Here is a 21357-nt window from a genome sequence, read left to right on the forward strand (position 1 = left end):
GGCCAAAGCAAATATTTAAATGGAACTCTATTTAGTGTTACTTGTTTGCTGTAAAACAAAACAAAACAAAACAAACAAACAAACAAAAACAGAGTCTTGGGGGTGGCCAAGACAGCCAACTAGAGGCAGCTAGTGTGCATGGCTCTCATGGAGAGAAATAGAGGGGTTGAGTAAATATAGCACCTTCAACCGAAACATCCAGGTACATGCATTGGATCTAATCAAGGAAACAACTTGACCCATGGAGAGCAGAGAAAAGCAAGGCAGGGTGACAGCCCACCTGGTAGTGACATGAAGCCAAGGGATCCTTCTATGCCCAGGGAAGTGGTGAGTGAATGCACGACCTTGGGAACCCATACTTCTCCCGTGGATCTTTGGAACCCTTGTGTCAGGAGATATCCTCATGAACCCACTCCACCTGGGCCTTCAGTCCGACACACAGAGCTATGTGGAGTCTCAGCAGAGCAGCCACTTAAGCACATGCAGAGACCCGGGAGCCTTAGATACCTGGGCTTTTCTTTTTGGGCTTCCTGTCAAAAGTAGCTATACCTCTGGCAAAGCAGGAGGTTAGACCCCCAACCACACCCCTTAGAAAAGGGGCTGAATCCAGTGACAGTCTGCAGGCCCCACTTCACAGCACCTCACAGAATGAAACCCACTGGCTTGGAACTCCAGCCAGTTACCGGTAGAAATGTTGCACCTCCCTGAGACAGAGCTCCTGGGGGAAAGTGTGGGCCATCATCTTTGCTGTTTGGTTGACTTGGCCATTCCATCATTCAGGCTTCAGAGAGTCCAAGCCAACCAGCGGCTGAAGCAGACCCTGAGCACAGCATAGCTGTTCTATGAAAATGTGGCTAGACTACTTTTTCAAATGGGTCTCCTATCCCTTTCCTCCTCACTGGGTAGGACCTCCTAACTGGGGTCTCCAACCACCTCCTACAGGTGCGTTTGGGCCAGCAACGGGTCTGTACATTTCTGGGATGGAGCTTCCAGAGGTGGGGGCAGGCTGCCATCTTTGCTGTTTCACAGCCTTCACTGTTGCTACCTCCAGATAATAAAACATCTGAGGTGACCAGGGACGGATGTGGGGTCCCAATATACTGCAGCAGCCCTATGAAAAAGTGACCAGACTTTTACATGGGTGCCCATCCCCATATCGGCTCACCAGACACATCCTCCAGGCCTAGGCCTCCAGCTACCCTCTGCTAGAATTATCGATCAAGTAGCAGCTCTGTAACTCCCTGGACAGGATCCCCAGGGGCAACTGAAAGTTCCTCTGCCACTACCTCTGCAGTAGAACTGCCCTTGCTACCCTTGGACTAACAAAGGAACAAAGACCCTAAGCGCCTCATCCATACCTCCAATAAGCTGCAGTTGACTCCAGGAGAGAAGGCCAGTCTGTCTCTCACAGGTCCTACCTACCCCCACCCCCCTCCTTGTCACCAGACAGGGAACCCCCAGCTCGGACCCACAACATAGAACATCCATCCTGGGCTAATTGCAAGGAGTAATTGCTGACCTGCATCTCAATGGGGTGGAGCCCCCAGGAGATAAGCAAAAGACCCTTGGCCATAACCATGCCAAGGTATCTTCCTCTGCTGCTGCCAAGTTGGAGAAGAAACATAACGCTGAGATTGCCCCAGAGCTGAAGGGGCAGCCCAGGAGTGCCAAGCCGTAATCTACAGCCAGCTCTCAAGGGGGAAAGAAATCTACACTTTCAGAGCATTGAGAGGGAACATGGCTGCAACTGTGCGGCAACACAGGGGAGCCTCACAACCAAGCAAGAGTCTACCAACTGACCAATATGCCGAAGTGCCACCTACTGGATCACATTCCCCAAAGCATCAACACCAAAAATATCTCACTAACATACCCCCCTCTGAAACCAAAGACAAGTACTCAGCTTCAAATAAAGACCCTGTGCAAAGCCTTGGCCCAATGAAAACTTCCAGGAAAGATGCCTATTGACTGTATTCAATCTACATTGCAGTTAAAGGAACACCTACACACTGAGATGAGAAAGAACCAATGCAAGAACTCTGGTAACTCAAATGACCAGAGTATTGTATGTCCTCCAAACAACCACACCAGTTCTCCAACAAGAGTTCTTAACGAGGCTGAGCTAGCTGAAATGACTGAAATAGAATTCAGACTGTGGAGAGGAATGAAGATCATTGAGATTCAGAAGAATGGCAAAACCCAATCCAAGGAAAATAAGAATCACAATAACACGACACTGGAGCTGAAGGACAAAGTAGCTGTTATAAAAAAGAAGCTAATAGGTCTCATAAGGCTGAATAACACAATACAGGAATTTCACAATGCAATCACAAGCATTAACAGTAGAATAAACCAAGCTGAGGAAAGAATCTTAGAACTTGAAGACTGGCTCTCTGAAATAAGACAGTCAGATAAAAATAAAGGAAAAAGAATAAAACGGGAAGAACAAAACCTCCAAGAAGTATGGGATTATGTAAATGCCAAAGCTATGAATCACTGGCATCCCTGAAAGGGATGGGGAAAAAGCAAACAACTTGGAAAACATATTTTAGGATATTATCCATGAAAACTTCCCCAACCTTACTAGAGAGGCAAATTTGCTGCCAGTCTTTGCTAACAGTCAAATTTAGGAAATACAGAGAATTCCTGCAAGATTCTACACAGGAAGATCATCCCCAAAACACACAATTGTCAGGTTTTCTCAGGTCAAAATGAAAAAATGTTAAAGACAGCCAGAGAGAAAGGGCAGGTCACCTACAGAGAGAACACCATTAGGCTAACAGCAGATGTCTCAGCTGAAACCCTACAAGCCAGAAGCAGTCAGGGTCCTATATTCAACATTCTTAAAGAAAAAAAATCTTCAACCAAGAATTTCATATCAGGCCAAACTAAGCTTCCTAAGCAAAGGAGAAATAAGATAATTTTTGGGCAAGCAAATGTTGAGGGAGTTTGTTACCACCAGACCTGCTTTACAAGACATCTTGAAAGGAGCACTAAATGGAGTAAGGAAAGACTATTTGCAGCTAATACAAAAGCATACTTAAATACACAGACCAGTGACACTGTAAAGCAACCATACAAACAAGCCAGCATAATAATCAGTGAACAACACAATGACAGGATTAAATCCATACATATTAATACTAATCTTGAATGTAAATGGGCTAAATGCTCCATTTAAAAGGCACAGAGTAGCAAGCTGTATTAAAAAAAAAGCAAGACCCAATGGTATGCTGTCTTCAAGAGACCCATCTCATGCTTAATAACACCCACACGCTAAAAATAAAGGGATGGAAGAAAATCTACCAACCAAGAGAAAACAGAAAAAAACATGGGTTATTGAAATTAAAATTCCCAATTTCAAAAAAAAAATGCAAAAAACAAAACACACACATGCACACACAAATACACTTCAAACCAACAAAGATAAAAAAAAGGCAAAGAAGGGCATTACATAATGGTAAAGGGTTCAATGCAACAAGAAGACCTAACTATCCTAAATATATATGCACTCAATACAAGAGTACCCAGATTCATAAAGCAAGTTCTTAGAGACCTACAAAGAGACATAGGCTACCACCACCCAATAATAGCCCAGGCCCTGATGAATTCACAGCTGAATTCTACCAGATGTACAAAGAAGAACTGGTAACATTCCTACTGAAGCTATTTCACGAAATTGAGGAGGAGGAGGAACTTCTTCCCAGCTCATCCTATGAGGCCAGTATCATTCTGCTACCAAAACCTGGCAGAGACACAACAAAAAAAGAAATCTTCAGGCCAATATCATGAGGCCCATCAATTCAAAAATCTTCAACAAAATACTTGCAAACCGAATTCAGCAGCACATCAAATGGCTAATCCACCACAATCAAGTAGGCGTCATCCTTGGGATGGAAGGTTAGTTCAACATATGCAAAACAATAAATGTGATTCATCATGTAAAAAGAAATAAAGAGAAAAACCACATGATTATCTCCATAGATGCAGAAAAAGCTTTCAATAAAATTCAACACCCGTTCATGTTAAAAACTCTCAATAAACTAGGTATTGAAGGAACATACCTCAAAATAATAAGAGCCTTCTATGACAAACCCACAGCCAAAATCATAATGAACGGACAAAAGCTGAAAGCATTCCCCTTGAAAACCAGCACGAGACAAGGATGCCCTCTCTCACCACTCCTATTCAACATAGTATTTGAAGTTCTGGCCAGGGCAATCAGGCAAGAGAAAGAAATGAAGGGTATCAAAATAGGAAAAGAGGGAGTCAAATTATCTTTGTTTGCAGATGACATGATCCTATATCTAGAAAACCCCATTACCCCGGCCCAAAAGCTTCTTAAGCGGATAAGCAACTTCAGCAGTCTCAGGATATATCAATGTGCAAAATTGCTCGCATTCTTATACACCAACAACAGGCAAGCAGAGAGCCAAATCATGAATGAACTCACATCTACAATTGCTACAAAGATAATAAAATACTTAAGAATGCAGCTAACAAGGGAAGTGAAGGACCTCTTCATGGAGAACTACAAACTACTGCTCAAGGAAATCAGAGAGGACACACACAAATGGGAAAACATTCAATGCTCATACATGGGAAGAATCAATTTTGTTAAAATGGCCATACTGCCCAAAGTAATTTATAGATTCAATGCTATTCCCATTAAACCACAACTGAAATTCTTCACAGAATTAGAAAAAAACTATTTTAAAATTCCTATGGAACCAAAAAAGAGCTCGTATAGCCAAGACAATCCAAAGAAAAAAGAATAAAGCTGGAGGAATCACACTACCTGACTTCAAACTATACTACAGGGCCACAGTACTCAAAACAGCATGGTACTGGTGCAAGAACAGACACATAGACCAATGGAACAGAATAGATAACTTAGAAATAAAACCACACAACTACAACCATCTGATCTTTGACAAACCTGACAAAAACAAGCAATGGGGAAAATATTTCCTATTTAATAAATGTTACTGGGAGAACTGGTAGCCATATGCAGAAAATTGAAACTGGACCTCTTCTTTACACCATGTATAAAAATTAACTCAAGATGGATTAAAGGCTTAAATGTAAAACCCAAAACTATGAAAACTCTAGGAGAAAATCTAGGCAATATCATTCAGGACATAGGCACAAGCAAAGATTTCATGACAAAAATGCCAGAAGCGATTGCAGTGAAAGCAAAAATTAACAAATGGGATCTAACTAAACTAAAGAGCTCCAGCACAGCAAAAGAAACTATCATCAGAGTGAACAGACAACCTACAGAATGGGAGAACATTTTTGCAATCTATCCATCTGACAAAGGTCTAATATGCAGAGTCTACAAGGAAATTAAACAAATTTACAAGAAAAAAACTGGATCCCATTAAAAAGTGGGCAAAGGACATGAACAGACACTTCTCAAAAGAAGACATACATGCGGCAAACAAGCATGTGAAATAAAACTTCATATCACTGATCATTAGAGAAATGCAAATCAAAACCACAATGGGATACCAGCTCTCACCAGTCAGAGTGATTAGTAGTAAAAAGTGAAAAAATAATATGCTGGCAAGGTCGCAGAGAAAAAGGAACATTTATACACTGTTAGTGGGAATGTAAAATAGTTCAACCATTGTGGAAAGCAGTATGGCGATTCCTCAAAGAGCTAAAAGCAGAACTATCATTCAACCCAGTCATCCCATTACTGGGTATATACCCAGAGGTATATAAATCATAAAGACACAGGCATGTGAATGTTCATTGCAGCACTATTCACAATAGCAAATACACGGAATCAACCTAAATGTCCATCAATGACAGATTGGATAGGGAAAATGTGATATACCATGGAATATTATGCAGCCATAAAAAAGAATGAGATCATGTCTGTTGCAGAAAAATGGATCTATTATCCTTAGCAAACTCATGTAGGAACACCAAATACTGCATGTTCTTACTTATATGGGAGCTAAATTATGATAACTCATGAACGCAAAGAAGGAAACAACAGACACTGGGGTCTACTTGAGGGTGGAGGGTGAGAGGAGGGAGAAGAGCAGAAAAGATAACTATTGGGTACTGGGTTTAATACCTGGGTGATAAAATAATCTGTACAACAAACTCCCATGACACAAATTTACCTATGTAACAAAGCTTCACATGTACTACTAAACCTAAAATAAAAGTTTTTTTTTAATGGATAATTTGGGGAGCACACACTAAGAAATTTTAATAATGTCAATTTTTGTTAAATAATTTTCCCTTAAAAGAAAAAAAATACTATTTTAAGTTATTTGTTTTCATGATGATTTTGTAAATAACCCCAGCCCAAGACTAGCCATACCTTACCAGAGAAAAGAAATAATGTTTCATATGGCTTTCTATCCCTTAAGGGAAACCAAGACAAATAAAACCAAACAAAACCCAAGAAAAATCTACTTCAGATCTCGTATTTTTATACAAATCCAATTTATATTTTGAAAAGCTTTTATGATTTCATTTAGTTAGAATTGATATTCCTAACGTGCAGTCCATAAATTGATTTTGGGGCTTCAGATTATCATTGAGAACAGCTTTTGTCATAAAGCTTCTGTATGTTAGACAACAGTTGAGTTTAGCACTGAATGTAGTGTTTGTGAAATTATTTGAACAATTTTTTACTGCATTATTTGGTAAGATAACATAAAAATTGAAGGACTAGCATTAGTCTTATAAAATTCATATAATTTAAACAAATATGTAAAAATATATCTTAGGCTTCAATCAGATGCTCATCAAACTTAAGCCAATCAAGATTTCAACTGTGAAAGAAAAAAATAAGATAAATGTGTAAAATGCTAGACATGTATCATTAATGATTGAGTACAAAAATTATGGTATAATTGAAAATTCTATTTTATTTTATTTGTTAAGCTTTCGGGAACCAGATAAATCCCCCCTTTGATGATATATGCTATTAATTTGATTTTCAGACATGCACATTTCATACAACTTACAGGAACATATTACATATGAAATAATAAAATCAAAGTCATCTGCACTTAATACAGGAGTGCTTGTGATTCAGGATGTGGTAGACAGAATAATGGCCCTCTATAACAGTACACATTCTAATCTCTGGAACGATAAATATGTTACATGGCAAAATGGACTTTGCAGATGAAATTAAGTTAAAGATCTCAGCTTGAAAGAATTATTGTGGATTATGTGAGCAGGCTTAATGAAATCATAAGGATCTTTATAAGCAGGAGATAAAGGGAAAAAGTCAGAAAATTGAGATGTAACAGCAGAAGCAGAGGTTGGAATGATGTGCTTTAAAGATGGAGGAAGGAGATTAAGAGCCAAGGAATGCAGGTGGCCTCAGAAACTGAAAAAGAAAGGAAACATATTCTCTTCCCAAGTCTGCACTTTGAATTTAGACTTCTGACTTCCAGAACTGTAAGAAGATAAATTTGCATTGTTTTAAACCACTACATTTATGGCAATTTGTTACAGCAACAATAGGAAATGAGTACATCATGGTACTTGGGTCTCCCTGTTCCATGGCTTTTTGAAGTGAAGTCTGGTTGTGGTGCTTAACACGAGTCTGTTTTATCACAACTAAGCCGCTCCCTAAATCTTCAGCATACGATTCAAGAAAGGAAAATATAGGAAGTACAGTTTTAGAAACTGAAGGAATTTGAGACGTTCTCTTCTGCACATCCTAGAACACAGGTTGGCCTGAAAGCTAAGAAACCTGCACTTTAACAAGCAAAAACATCTACTGAATGGGATTAATAGAATTAGCTGTAAAGAGTAGGATCTGGGCTGGCCACTTCTGGAGTGAAGGAATGGATTAATTAGATAGGAATGCGAATGCAATCTAGGAGAATATTCATGTTTCAGATGCAGATGGTTCTGCGATAGTCCCACACATACTGACTTAAAAGAGAAGAAATACCATTTAGTTAATCCTCCACCTTGGAAGCCCGTGGATTATGCTGCTTGTCTTTTTTTTTTTTTAAACCTGTCTGTAGTGATTTTCCTTGCTTCATCATATTTTCTTACTGCCATTTTAGTTGGATTTCCCCCTTATCTTTCACCTTCCTTTCTCCAAGGAAGCATTAAGCTCTAGTGGGAAAGTCTGCAGAAGCGGGCCAAGGGAAAAGGGGTTGTGGTTCTGACTGGAATGTTGATTAGGCAGATGGAATCTCTGGGAACAAAAAGAACATATAGGACATAACAAATCTGAGTGCTGGCAAGGTCTGGCCTTTAAGAGATCAATATCTGTATCCATGCATCTAAAATTTCTATTCTTTAATTGCTTAAAAAATATGCCTCCAAAAATAGTAAAGGCAGCTGCTCTGTATGTAATGTTAGATATGCACCCTCATTCATTGTTCTATGAGAGCATTACAGATGTTTCCTCTTCTCCTCCATGGATACCCTCTGCTTTGATTTTCTCCAAGGATGCTATGAGACTCAAAGCACTTATTGTTTTGAATATAGGATAATGTGATTGCTCCTTTACTTCTGCAGATTCCCAAGCAATCATTTAGTTTCATCCCCAATGGATTTGATAGGTGGGCAGCAGAGCCATTCCTCTTTGAAGCTATATCCTGAGGTCTTCACTTTGGGGAAGGGGAGAAAGCAACAGCTGAAGATAAAATGGCTAATGTGCCAAGTATTTCCTCCTCAAATTTTTACGTTTCATTCTGAGATACGTTATATTATTATTTCCGTTTTATAGATGAGAAGACTGAGACTTAGGTAATTTGCTCAAGATCTCTGAGAAAGTCAATGACAGGAGCCCCAGTTCAGCCTACATAGTCTGCTTACAGAGTTTGTGTCTTTGTTCACAGTGCTAAATTGTCCCCCAGTTAGCATCAACACACACTCCCCAAACTCCTGCCTGCAATGTCTATATTTGGTGGCCTTTTATGATGTTCCTTGCCTATTGTTTTCCCTTCACCTATTAATAAATTATTTCTTTAGCTTTATTGATCAAAGCTGCCCAGGCATTTTAACTAACATCACGTGTGCAAAGTTTTTAGGTGTGGAGTGTGGGGTTTAGCAGGAGGCCTGTGTGGGGGCTGTGCTCCCCATCCTGACAAGCACACAAGGAACTAGGATGATATCCTTGAGATTGGCTGGGCTACCATTGTTTGGATTCTCTTTCTTTTAAAATATATTTTTCCTATGGTATATGAATAAACATTTAAAATTTTTAATACAATGTTTGAATCTTCTTCAGATATTTTATGTGAAAGTTAGGTCACTGCTTGGGAAGGAATAGAATTTCAACCTTTGGGATGAGGATGCTTAAGAGGATGTGGAGGACTTCCAAACCACTCTGAAATGTTTTCTTACCTGAGGAAGTCTTCTAGACCTGGCAGTAGAAACCTAAAAATATCCCTCATAGCCTTCCTCTAATTGATGCTAGTTATTAGAATCTGAGCTCAACATTGCCTGGAAAGGGTGGGCATGGAGGCATGTGTCTGTAGTCCCAGCTACTCAGGTGGCTGAGACAGGAGGATTGCTTGAGTCCAGGAGTTCCAGGTCAGCCTGGGCAACATAGCAAGACCCCTGTCTCTACATACATACATACATACATACATATATACATACATACATACATACATACATACATACAAAGAACTGCCTTAGGAAAGGAAAGGAGACAAAGAGTAGGAAGGAGAAAAATTATGTCCAAAAATAACCACAGGAATACTATCATTCATTCATTTTTTATTTATGAGTGTACAGAAATTGCTGGGCATTGTGTGATTATATAATTGGAAGTAAAACACTTCTCAGCAAATGCAAAATAACTGAAATCATAACAAACAGTATCTCAGACAACAGAACAATTAGATTAGAAATCAAAATTAAGAAACTCACTCAAAACCACACAACTACATGGAAATTGAACAATTTGCTCCTGAACGACTCCTGAGTAAATAATGGAATGAAGGCAGAAATCAAGATGTTCCTTGAAACTAATGAGAATAAAGAGACCATGTACCAGAATCTCTGGGACATACTTGAAGGAACTCTTCAAGGAGAACTACAAACCACTGCTCAGTGAAATCAGAGAGGACACAAACATATGTGAAAACATTCCATGCTCATGGATAGGAAAAATCAATATTGTGAAAACGGCCATACTGCCCAAAATAATTTATAGATTCAATGCTATTTCCATTAAACCACCATTGACATTCTTCACAGAATTAGAAAAAAAACATTTTTAAATTCATATGGAACCAAAAAAGAGTCCTTATAACTGAGAAAATCCAAAGCAAATAGAACAAAACAGGAGGTGTCACACTACCTGACTTCAAACCATACTACAAGGCTATAGTAATCAAAACAGCATAGTACTGGTGCAAAAACAGGCAGACAGACCAGTGGAACAGAATAGGGAACACAGAAATAAGATCACAGACCTACAGTCATCTGATCTTTGACAAACTTGACAAAAACAAGCAATGGGGAAAGGATTCGCTATTTAATAAATGATGCTAAGAAAACTGGCTAGCCTATGCAGAAAATTGAAATGGGACCCCGTCTATACACCTTATACAAAAATTAACTTAGGATGGATTAAATGCTTATATATAAAAGCCAAAACTATAAAAACCATAGAAGAAAATCTAGGCAATACCATTTAGGACATAGGCATGGGCAAAGATTTCAAGACGAAAACATCAAAAGCAATTGCAACAAAAACAAAAATTGACAAATGGGAACTAATTAAACTAAAGAGCTTCTGTACAGCAAAAGAAACTCTCATCAGAGTGAACAGACAACCTACAGAATGGGAGAAAATTTTTGCAATCTATCCATTTGACAAAGATCTAATATCCAGAATCTACAAAGAACTTAAACAAATTTACGAGAAAAAAACATACAACCCCATTAAAAAGTGGGTGAAGGACATGAACAGACACTTCTCAAAGAAGAGATTCACGTGGCCAACAACCATATGAAAAAACACTCAACATCACTGATGATTAGAGAAATGCAAATCAAAACCACAATGAGATACCATCTCACACCAGTCAGAATGGTGATTATTAAAAAGTCAGGAAACAACAGATGCTGGTGAGGCTGCAGAGAGATAGGAAGGCTTTTACACAGTTAGTGGGAATGTAAATTAATTCAAACATTGTGGAAGACAGTGTGGCAATTCCTTAAAGACCTAGAACCAGAAATACCATTTGACCCAGCAATCCCATTACTGGGTACATACCCAAAGGAAAATAAATCATTCTGTTACAAAGATACATGCCCACGTATATTCATTGCAGCACTATTCACAATAGCAGAGACATGGAATCAATCCAAATGCCTATCAATGATAGACTGGATAAAGAAAATGTGCTATATGTACACCATAGAATACTACGCAGCAATAAAAAGGAATGAGATCATGTCCTTTGCAGAGACATGGATGGAGCTGAAAGCCATTATCCTCAGCACACTAACACAGGAACAGAAAACCAAACACCATATGTTCTCACTCATAAGTGAGAGCTGAACAGTGAGAAAACATGGACACAGGGAGGGGAACAACACACACTGGAGCCTGGTCGGGGGTAAGGGAGAAATGAGAACATCAGGAAAAATAGCTAATGATTGCAGGACTTAATAATTAGGTGATGGATTGATAGGTGCAGCAAACCACCATGGCATGTGTTTACCTATGTAATAAAACTGCACGTGTACCCCAGAACTTAAAATAAAAAAAGAAGACATAAAAAATTTAAAAAAATACACAATTCAATGGTTTCTAATATATTCACATAGTTATGCATCCAGCATCACGATAGCATTTTGTTTTAGGGGCTTACAATATACCATTGTGCAGACATTTAATTTGTTTTATTTAATTAGTCTCCCAAGCATATTCAAATTTTTCCGTTTTTAATCTGGAAGAAGCAGTACTTTCATGATTGTATGTATAGATTTGTGCACATGTGCAAATATTGCTGTCATAGGCATTTCTAAAAGTGGATTTTCTTGATCAAGCTCCAAACACTTTAAAATGTGATGGATCTTAACAAATTTCTTCCCAACGTTGTGCCCGGTTTAACTTCCCCATCAGTTTATGCTCATGCTAGTTCACCACACTCACCAATATGAAGAAGCATGGATTTTACATTTGTCATTCGTGAGGCAACAACTCATTGTTTTCATTTGTATTTTTATTATGTGGGGTTTCGGTATTTTTCAATTTTAACGGACCGTTTGTATATGTTCTTCTGTGAATTTTTAATTTGTGACTTTTGCTGGTTTCTTTCTTTATTGGATTGCCAATCTATATTCATACTGATTTGTAAAATCTTTTAATGTGTTAGCAATACTCACCCTCTATCATATACGTTGCAAGCACTTTTTCCACATTTGTCTTTCAAGTCTGTAAATAGTGCTATTCACCACATAAAATTTTAAACTGCTGTGTGGCCAATATTTTCCTGTTTTTGGCTCTCGTATCATGTTTATGAAATTTCTCAGTAAGAAGAAAACTTTTGATTTAGTAAACGGGAAATAATTATTTTTTAAGTAATAAAGTCAGGGTGAAATATTTTTTATTTACTTGATATGACTAGTTGTTTTCTTCTTTTGCCATTAATTGCAGTCTTCAAGCCAATACTTCTTTAGAAATATGACAGATTTAATACCAACACTAGGACCATTTGAAGACAGAACTGTGTGTTTTAATAGAGATAATATCTCAACAGGAGTTTGTGAGGCTGACAGTCTCTGATGTTCTGACCACCTACGTCACAATCCTCATTGGGGACTTTCTAAGGGCATGTTTTGTGAGGTTTTGCAATTATTGCTGGTGCTGGGACTTGGAGTATGGATATGTAAGTATGATGTTAATTTTGCTTTTTTTTTTTTTTAAATTTATTTATTTTTTATTGATAATTCTTGGGTGTTTCTCACAGAGGGGGATTTGGCAGGGTCATAGGACAATAGTGGAGGGAAGGTCAGCAGATAAACAAGTGAACAAAGGTCTCTGGTTTTCCTAGGCAGAGGACCCTGCGGCCTTCCGCAGTGTTTGTGTCCCTGGGTACTTGAGATTAGGGAGTGGTGATGACTCTTAAGGAGCATGCTGCCTTCAAGCATCTGTTTAACAAAGCACATCTTGCACCACCCTTAATCCATTTAACCCTGAGTGGACACAGCACATGTTTCAGAGAGCACAGGGTTGGGGGCAAGGTCACAGATCAACAGGATCCCACGGCAGAAGAAGTTTTCTTAGTACAGAACAAAATGAAAAGTCTCCCATGTCTACTTCTTTCTACACAGACACGGCAACCATCCGATTTCTCAATCTTTTCCCCACCTTTCCCGCCTTTCTATTCCACAAAGCCGCCATTGTCATCCGGGCCCATTCTCAATGAGCTGTTGGGCACACCTCCCAGACGGGGTGGTGGCCGGGCAGAGGGGCTCCTCACTTCCCAGTAGGGGCGGCCGGGCAGAGGCGCCCCTCACCTCCCGGGCGGGGCGGCTGGCCGGGCGGGGGGCTGACCCCCCACCTCCCCTCCCGGACGGGGCGGCTGGCCGGGCAGGGGGCTGACCACCCCACCTCCCTCCCGGATGGGGCGGCTGGCCGGGCAGAGGGGCTCCTCACTTCCCAGTAGGGGCAGCCGGGCAGAGGCGCCCCTCACCTCCTGGACGGGGCGGCTGGCCGGGTGGGGGGCTGACCCCCCCACCTCCCTCCCGGACGGGGCGGCTGGCCGGGCGGGGGGCTGACGCCCCCACCTCCCTCCCGGACGGGGTGGCTGCCGGGCGGAGACGCTCCTCAGTTCCCAGACTGGGTGGCTGCCGGGCGGAGAGGCTCCTCATTTCTCAGACGGGGCGGCTGCCGGGCGGAGGGGCTCCTCACTTCTCAGACGGGGCAGTTGCCGGGCAGAGGGTCTCCTCACTTCTCAGATGGGGCGGCCGGGCAGAGATGCTCCTCACCTCCCAGACGGGGTCGCAGCCGGGCAGAGGTGCTCCTCACATCCCAGATGATGGGCGGCCGGGCAGAGGCGCTCCTCACTTCCTAGATGTGATGGTGGCCGGGAAGAGGTGCTCCTCACTTCCTAGGTGGGATGGCGGCCGGGCGGAGACGCTCCTCACTTTCCAGACTGGGCAGCCAGGCAGAGGGGCTCCTCACATCCCAGACGATGGGCGGCCAGGCAGAGACGCTCCTCACTTCCCAGACGGGGTGGCAGCCGAGCAGAGGCTGCAATCTCGGCACTTTGGGAGGCCAAGGCAGGCGGCTGGGAGGTGGAGGTTGTAGCGAGCCGAGATCACGCCACTGCACTCCAGCCTGGGCACCATTGAGCACTGAGTGAACGAGACTCCGTCTGCAATCCCGGCACCTCGGGAGGCTGAGGCTGGCGGATCACTTGCGGTTTGGGGCTGGAGACTGGCCTGGCCAACACAGCGAAACCCCGTCTCCACCAAAACCAGTCAGGCGTGTCGGCGCGAGCCTGCAATCGCAGGCACTCGGCATGCTCAGTCAGGAGAATCAGGCAGGGAGGTTGCAGTGAGCCGAGATGGCAGCAGTACAGTCCAGCTTCGGCTCAGCATGAGAGGGAGACCGTGGAAAGAGAGGGAGAGGGAGACCATGGGGAGAGGGAGAGGGAGTAATTTTGCGCTTATAAGGTTTTTCCTTTGTAATTCGTCATTTACACACACTATATAAGAGAAAGGCATCATAGAGTTTAGTGGATGGGATCACCGTTTTAGGTGCAATAAATGAAGACCAATGAGTACATTTATAATGCAGAGAAGTTCAGACTCGAGTATCATGGTTTACAATATTCTAGTAAAATTAGCACAAGATAGCAAAAGCAATGGACCTCAACTTGTCAGCTGAAATGTTGAACTCAGTAAATCTTGGCCCTGTAGCCCACCTTCTCCCTATAAGTTTACTAGCATTTCTAGAAGCAGGGAAAGATGGCTAATATCAACTGCATATTCTATTTATGCCTTTGAATTCTACTAAACTCCTGGATACTATCATATGCCAGTCACTGTGCAGTAGATGGGGTGGATAAAAGGATTTGATAAATATGGTACTTGCTTCACAAAGTTCACAGTCTAATAAGAGCTCGAAAGAGACACACACAAGAGGCTGCAGAAGGTTCAAGGAAGGCCTAGTTTGCTGTCATGCATCTGGCAAGTGGTGGAGCTGAATTCTGGCAGGGGCGGCTTCTTTTCCTGAAACAATGGCTCAGGTCTCTCAGAACCACACTGGTGCTGACTCCATCACCAGCTTTCCTTCTATGGTCATCCTCAGGTCCCCCAACAAAGTCTGAGGGCAACAGCACACTCATCACCCTGTGATTAGCACATTGCCTGGTTTCCACTGTCCTCCTTTGAGTCAAACTGGTCTCAGTCATCCTGGAAAATATGACCTGGGGGGTTGGTAGTACTCATTTGCTTAAAATCTTCCAGTGGCTTCTCAAGTACTTAGAATGATTTCCAAATCCCTTTCTAGGCCTTCAGTACCCTGGATGATCTGCTCCTTTTCTTTCTCTCTCAAGTCATTTGCTACCTCTTTTGCTCTTGCTTTGTAAAGTTCACATGGGCTTCTTTTTATGCTCAAACATGGGCTGCTTTTTATGCTCAAACACAAGATGGTCCTTGCATTTGTAATTGCTGTTTCTCCCGCAAGGGGTGCTGTTGCCCTAGAGCTAGGAATGGCTGGTTTCTTCTTGTCATTAAAGACTCAGCTATTATGTTACCTCCTTAGTGCTCTTCTCTGACCACCTATTCTAATGTAGCCAATCAGGCACTGTTTATATCAACACACTGTTCTGTTTTCTTCATAAGATGTGCATCTATTTGACATTACTCTTGTAAAATGTACTCATGGTCTATCTCCCTCTGTTAGAAAGAATACTCTATGAAAATAGAGGCCCTGACCTCTCTTATTTGAACTGTGTGAGTCACGTAGCAGGCAGCATGTGTTGGCTGGCTGTTTGAATGTTGAACCTTCTCATTTTTGCACCATCAAGGCAGCACTGTCTATTGCCAGAACTCTGCCTCCTTCGAAGCATGTGCCCATGGAGTCTCAGTGTTTGTAATGTTTTTGAGTTATTGAGCCAGTAATGCTTCTCTCCTCACCAGTGAGGGAATATCCTTTATAGCTGATCTTCTATCTCTTTTATCTCCTGCCCTCTAGTCTCTGGATGAGTCCAACAGTTAGGACTGTTTTCAAGATTTCAGGCTAGATCTGTCTGGCTGTCTGACTTTGAGATGGTACCTTTTATAAGGTCGTCTCCATCACCCTCATTGAAAGTGCCTCCTCGGACTGGCCAAAAGCAGTTAGGTAATGCTCTTCGGTGAACGACAGTGAGGTAATGGCTACAGATACAGGATGCTCTTGTGTTGCTTTCCCATTCTTTGCTATGAGGTATTCAGCTGGCTTGGTTTCATTTCTATTTTCCTTACCTGATTCAGCTCCTCTGAGGCAGACATAAAAATTGCCATTTCTTCCTTAGACCATTGCTTGGCTTGTACTTACCTTTTATCCCTTGGCTGCCTTCTTCTTAAGTGGCAGAAAATCTGAGTGCAAATATGAAGTCAATATTACATGACCTGGATGCATAAAAGCTGTAATTAAATGACTGTAATTTATTATTTATTGACTGCTGACAGTGTTCCTGGGTTAGTAGAAAGTACAGGAAAAAAGACAAGTTCCTGTTTTAGGTCACAGAGAAGGAATTTTCTCCCACGTTACCTTTGGAAGGCTCAAAAAAGCTCTGTCAGAATCAAAACAAGTTTTAAAACATTAATGATGGATGACGAATCTTTGATGTAGATCCCATTGTCATTGACTTACCAAATGGATAGCTTACACGGGTGAGGGCCTACTAGGTGCAAGCCATTATGAACAAACTCTGTGCTAGGTGATAAAGGAATACAGGGATGTAGAAGATGTAGACTTACGTAGAGGTTGCAAATTTGGCCTGCAGGGTAGATTCAGCTAATGGATATTTTTGTTTGGTATGCCCAGTGGTGGTGTTTGTTTTTGTTTCATTTTTTATGAGCTAATATTTTAAAATGAGAGCTCTTACATAAAAACACATGGATTTATTGTTTTTCTTGAAAGGCTGGCAACATTAAATCTGTATTCCCACTAGGGAGAAATTGGCTGGAGTTGAGAAACCACTGCCATCTGCAGTTGGGATATTCATTCTCCAGTTCCTCATACTCTTCACCACTCTTTTCTCTTACAAGCTCCCGATATAAATAGAGAAATCAATTGTATGGCCCTTGAAGAGAAAGTGTGTGTGTGTTTGTGTGTGTGTGTGAGAGAGAGAGAGACAGGCGTGCATCAGTAGAAATGCAGACACAGAGGAGGAGACATTTGAACTAAGTCTTGAAGAATGATCAGGATTTCAAGAGATGAAAGAAAGAATTCCCGGTGGAGGGACAAGTGTAAGACAGAGCACCAGAGATAGATAGTGTGGGCAATCCAGGCATAGATTAAAAAAAAAAAAAAAAAAAACTAAAATGAGGCTGTTTTAGAGCAGAAAAGGCTAATAAGAATGTTTCTCTGCTATTCTCCTAGACCTGCTAATCAATAATATGGTTTCAGAAAGTACCTGTCATGAAGGGAAGGACAACCTGAGATAGGCAGAGGACATACTTGAGAATTCTGTCAGAAATAAAAGATAAAATCATGGTCCTTTCTACTGTATGCATGCATGTGCATGTATACACACACACAAAGCACATGATTTTTTTCTTCTGAATTCCAAAAATAATGCCAGTTTATTGTAGAAAATTTGGAAAATATAACAAAGCTAATATGAAAGTAAAAATCATAGGTAATCTCTGCCACTAATGAGATTAATTATTTGGATTGTTGAATCAAATAGTGTTAGATAACAAGTGCTACATATTTATATATAGTAACAGATTTTTATAAATATACACATATATACTTTTGTATACGTATATATGTGTGTAAACAGGTAGTAGAGTAGACTGGTTACTTGCTTTTATTTGTTTTACCTAACACTGATCATTTCCCAATGCTATTAACTGTTGTTTTGTAACATACCTTTTAAATGGTTGTATAATATTCTGTATGCAAATGTAGTATAATTAATCTAATTAGTTTTTAATTTGCTTTAAGTTGAACTGTCTAATTATTCTTATGATAATAAGTGTTGTGATGACATTTAATTATATCCATGTACATAAGTATCTTCATAGATAAATCATAGTGGATGTACAAATTATTTTCTTATGATAAATTTCTCTGAGTTGAATTGCTCAGTCACAGTAGAGGGCTTTAAAAAAGTCTATTCACTTTTATTACAACAGCCTCTGTAGAGACTCTGCAGATTTCAGCATTAGATTCAGAGATCTATAGAATGCTAAAGTTAGGTGGATTTTGACACAACCAGTTGTAATGCATGTATTTAACATATGAAAAATTGCATCTGTGAATTGAAATGAGGTTCCTAAGTTTATGTAGCCAGAGAATAATAAGGACAATGAAGTACACTTCTGGACGAAAATGTTATGTTAAATGTATTGATTTCTGTACTGGCTCTATCTGAGTAAGCTGGGTTAAAAGGGATTGTGAATATTTTTCAAGACACAAATTTATGGTCATAATGTTATCACAACAAACCTATGAAGATTAACTAAGGTGGAAAAATTACTGGCTTGGAGCAGATTACCAGACCAATGTAAGTTAATGTAATGTAAGTTAATGTCTCCAAAGGCTTCTCTGAGCACAGTTCTCAGTGTTTCAGAAGAGTTCATGAGGAGTAGAATAGTTTGTCCCTAGGAAGGATTTTAACTGCTCTAATTTAATACAAAGTGTGCCCTCTTGTAAACTTTGGGTTTTCTTTGGCAGTTCAATGCAGAATATCTTTATCTTCACTTCAGTTTTCATTGACACCATTCTTACTATTTACCAGCAAAGCAAGTAAAGAATATTCAAGAAGAAATAGAATTAGATTCAGGGCATGATGGGGTAAGGGAATGTTCAATAAACTCAGCATGGTGTTCACAGTTGTATTTTTAAGGTGATCATTGCTCACTCGTAAGTGAGAGCCGAACAGCGATGGGAGACTTCTTTAAAGTCTGATGAAGGATGCTCAGGATTATCCATAAATAAGAGGCATATAATTGACTGACTACCTTAGTGGATTCCCAATCATATTATATTGTATTATGTCACATCTCAATGTACTGCTTATTTTGTATCAGAAACTCTACAAAATACTTTACATGTATTATTCCATGTGATCGTACCAGCAATGCTGTGAGGTGGTATTATTGTTCCTACTTTACAGTAAACTGAGGCTTAGAGGATGTTAAATAATTGCTCAAAGACACATTAATGGTTAGTGGTAGAGTTAGGCCTGAAACTCGAGTCTCATCACCTTCAAAGCCATCAACCAAATTTCCATCATGTTGAATTTACACCGTAATGCTTGACTCTAGAAATTTTAAAAATTCTGCCAAAACTTGAATAATTCATACACTAAACCTATGGCTTTTGGAACTCAAAGTGCTCATAGGCTTAGGCAGGCTACCTGTGGTAGAATGGAGTTAGCAAATGAACTGGGATACAGAATTAGAAGATCAACTGTTCTCTAGCTGGGAACGTGGAGATATTATATATCAGTTCGGGAAGGTAGAATGATAAAGAATCAGGAAGAAATCATCAGCATCCCATAAGGGGTTGAGAACATGGGAACAGGGACAATGCAGACTGTATTTTAAGTGTTCCTTGAATATGTGGACAGGATCTGTCTGCAGTTAACAGGATCCTATTCTCAACTAGGGTTGAAGTACAAAGCCTCAAGTGCTCAATCATCCTAGCAGACGAGGCTAGAGTTTGTCCTAGATCAGTGCTTCTGGAATTTGAGCATACATCAGAATCCCCTGAGGACCTGTGAAAACAGCATTTCTGATTCAGTAGATCTGAGGCCAGGCCCGAGAATGTGCTTTTCTGACAAGTTCCCAGGTGATGCTGCTGACTCTCGTCTGAGGACCACACTCAAAAGCCACTGCTCTGGAGCCACAGCCCAGACTAGCTTGCAGCTCTAAGCAGAGTGATTCCAGCTGTGAGAAATGGGATTTATGTGCAGAAGGTCAGGCAACTCATTCCACAACAGAATTAATTCTCTCTGAGATCCTGAATTGCATTTCATATTATCCACAGGTTGGCAATCTGCCTCAAATAATGAAACTTGCAGAGAGAGAAGAGATCTTCCCAGGCTTTTTCTTTGTCAAGTGAGCACCATATGTCTTCCCTCTGGGTGGATGACTGACTTAGCACATCACAAGCAAAGGTCCAAAAATTAAACAACATCATTTCCAATCCCTCAACTATGATGGACTTTAGCCCAAATCCACATGGGCTTTTCTGATGCTGGCCCCCAACAGTCTTACCAGGAATGAGCAGTCATTAGTGAGTTTATTACACTTAGCTCATTCAAATAATTTTATGATCTCAAAGTTCAAGAGAATCTGTTTTTTTTTCTTTTTCCCTAACCGTTTTTTACCTTTGAGCTTTTTCTATTTTAGAGACAAACAAAATATATTGCAAATTGATTTATATTTATTAAAGTATTGCTTTAAAAATTTAAAATATAATATAACCTAATGTTTATAAAAGCCTACCTCTAAAACAATGAGCACTGACTTTTATACTACATATGTGTAGTTTTTCTGCCTTCTCTTTTGTTTTAGTTTTAAAGTGAGAGCTTCTGTGTTTATTGCATAAGTTAAATTCCATTTCTAAGGTGTTTACAGAGAAGCAATTCTTTCATAACTGGTTCTAATTTTCAACCAATAACGTATTTTTAGACTAGAAAGGGATCTTAGAAATGAACTAGTTCAGAGGTTGGCAAACTTTTGCTGTAAAGGGCTAGATAGTAAGTATTTTAGCTTTTGCAAGCCATGGTGTCTCTATTATAACTGCTAAATGCTGTTGTTTTAGTACCAGTCATAGATAATATATAAATGAATGAATATAGCTGTATTCCAATAAAATTTATTTGTTAAAACAGGTGGCAGTCCAGATTTGGCACATGGGCCATAGTATGCTGACCTTTGGTCTAGTTCATTTTTGATTTATGTGTCAGGAAACTAAGCCTAATGAGATAAGTGACCTGCCCAGCTTACCTAGCTAAGAAATGGTAGAGTGAAGTCTAAAATGCAGGTTTGAATCCCAGTCAAATGTCTGTTCTACAAATCCACTTGGTCCAGTATGGCCACCCTGTATCCTTTCTGTGCATCAGGCCAATTTATAGATCAAGGGGGTTGTTCCTCCAGCTGTCCCTGCTGCAAACACAGCAGGAAGCTAGGGACCCTAGGGTGTCCTTTATGCTTTTC

At 40.4% G+C, this 21357-nt stretch overlaps 1 protein-coding gene across 2 annotated transcripts in view; it reads left to right on the top strand.

The window, feature by feature from the left end:
• Positions 1 to 21357, top strand: part of TMC1 (transmembrane channel like 1) — a 316690-nt gene that overhangs the window by 271049 nt on the left and 24284 nt on the right. For both annotated transcript variants that reach the window (NM_138691.3, XM_017014256.2), the window contains one exon: positions 12726 to 12854. In NM_138691.3, coding sequence (NP_619636.2) covers positions 12726 to 12854 — 129 coding nt within the window. The remainder of the gene's footprint in view (positions 1 to 12725; positions 12855 to 21357) is intronic.

The sequence above is a fragment of the Homo sapiens genome, chromosome 9 (genome assembly GCF_000001405.40).
Source record: "Homo sapiens chromosome 9, GRCh38.p14 Primary Assembly".
Lineage (NCBI taxonomy): Eukaryota > Metazoa > Chordata > Mammalia > Primates > Hominidae > Homo > Homo sapiens.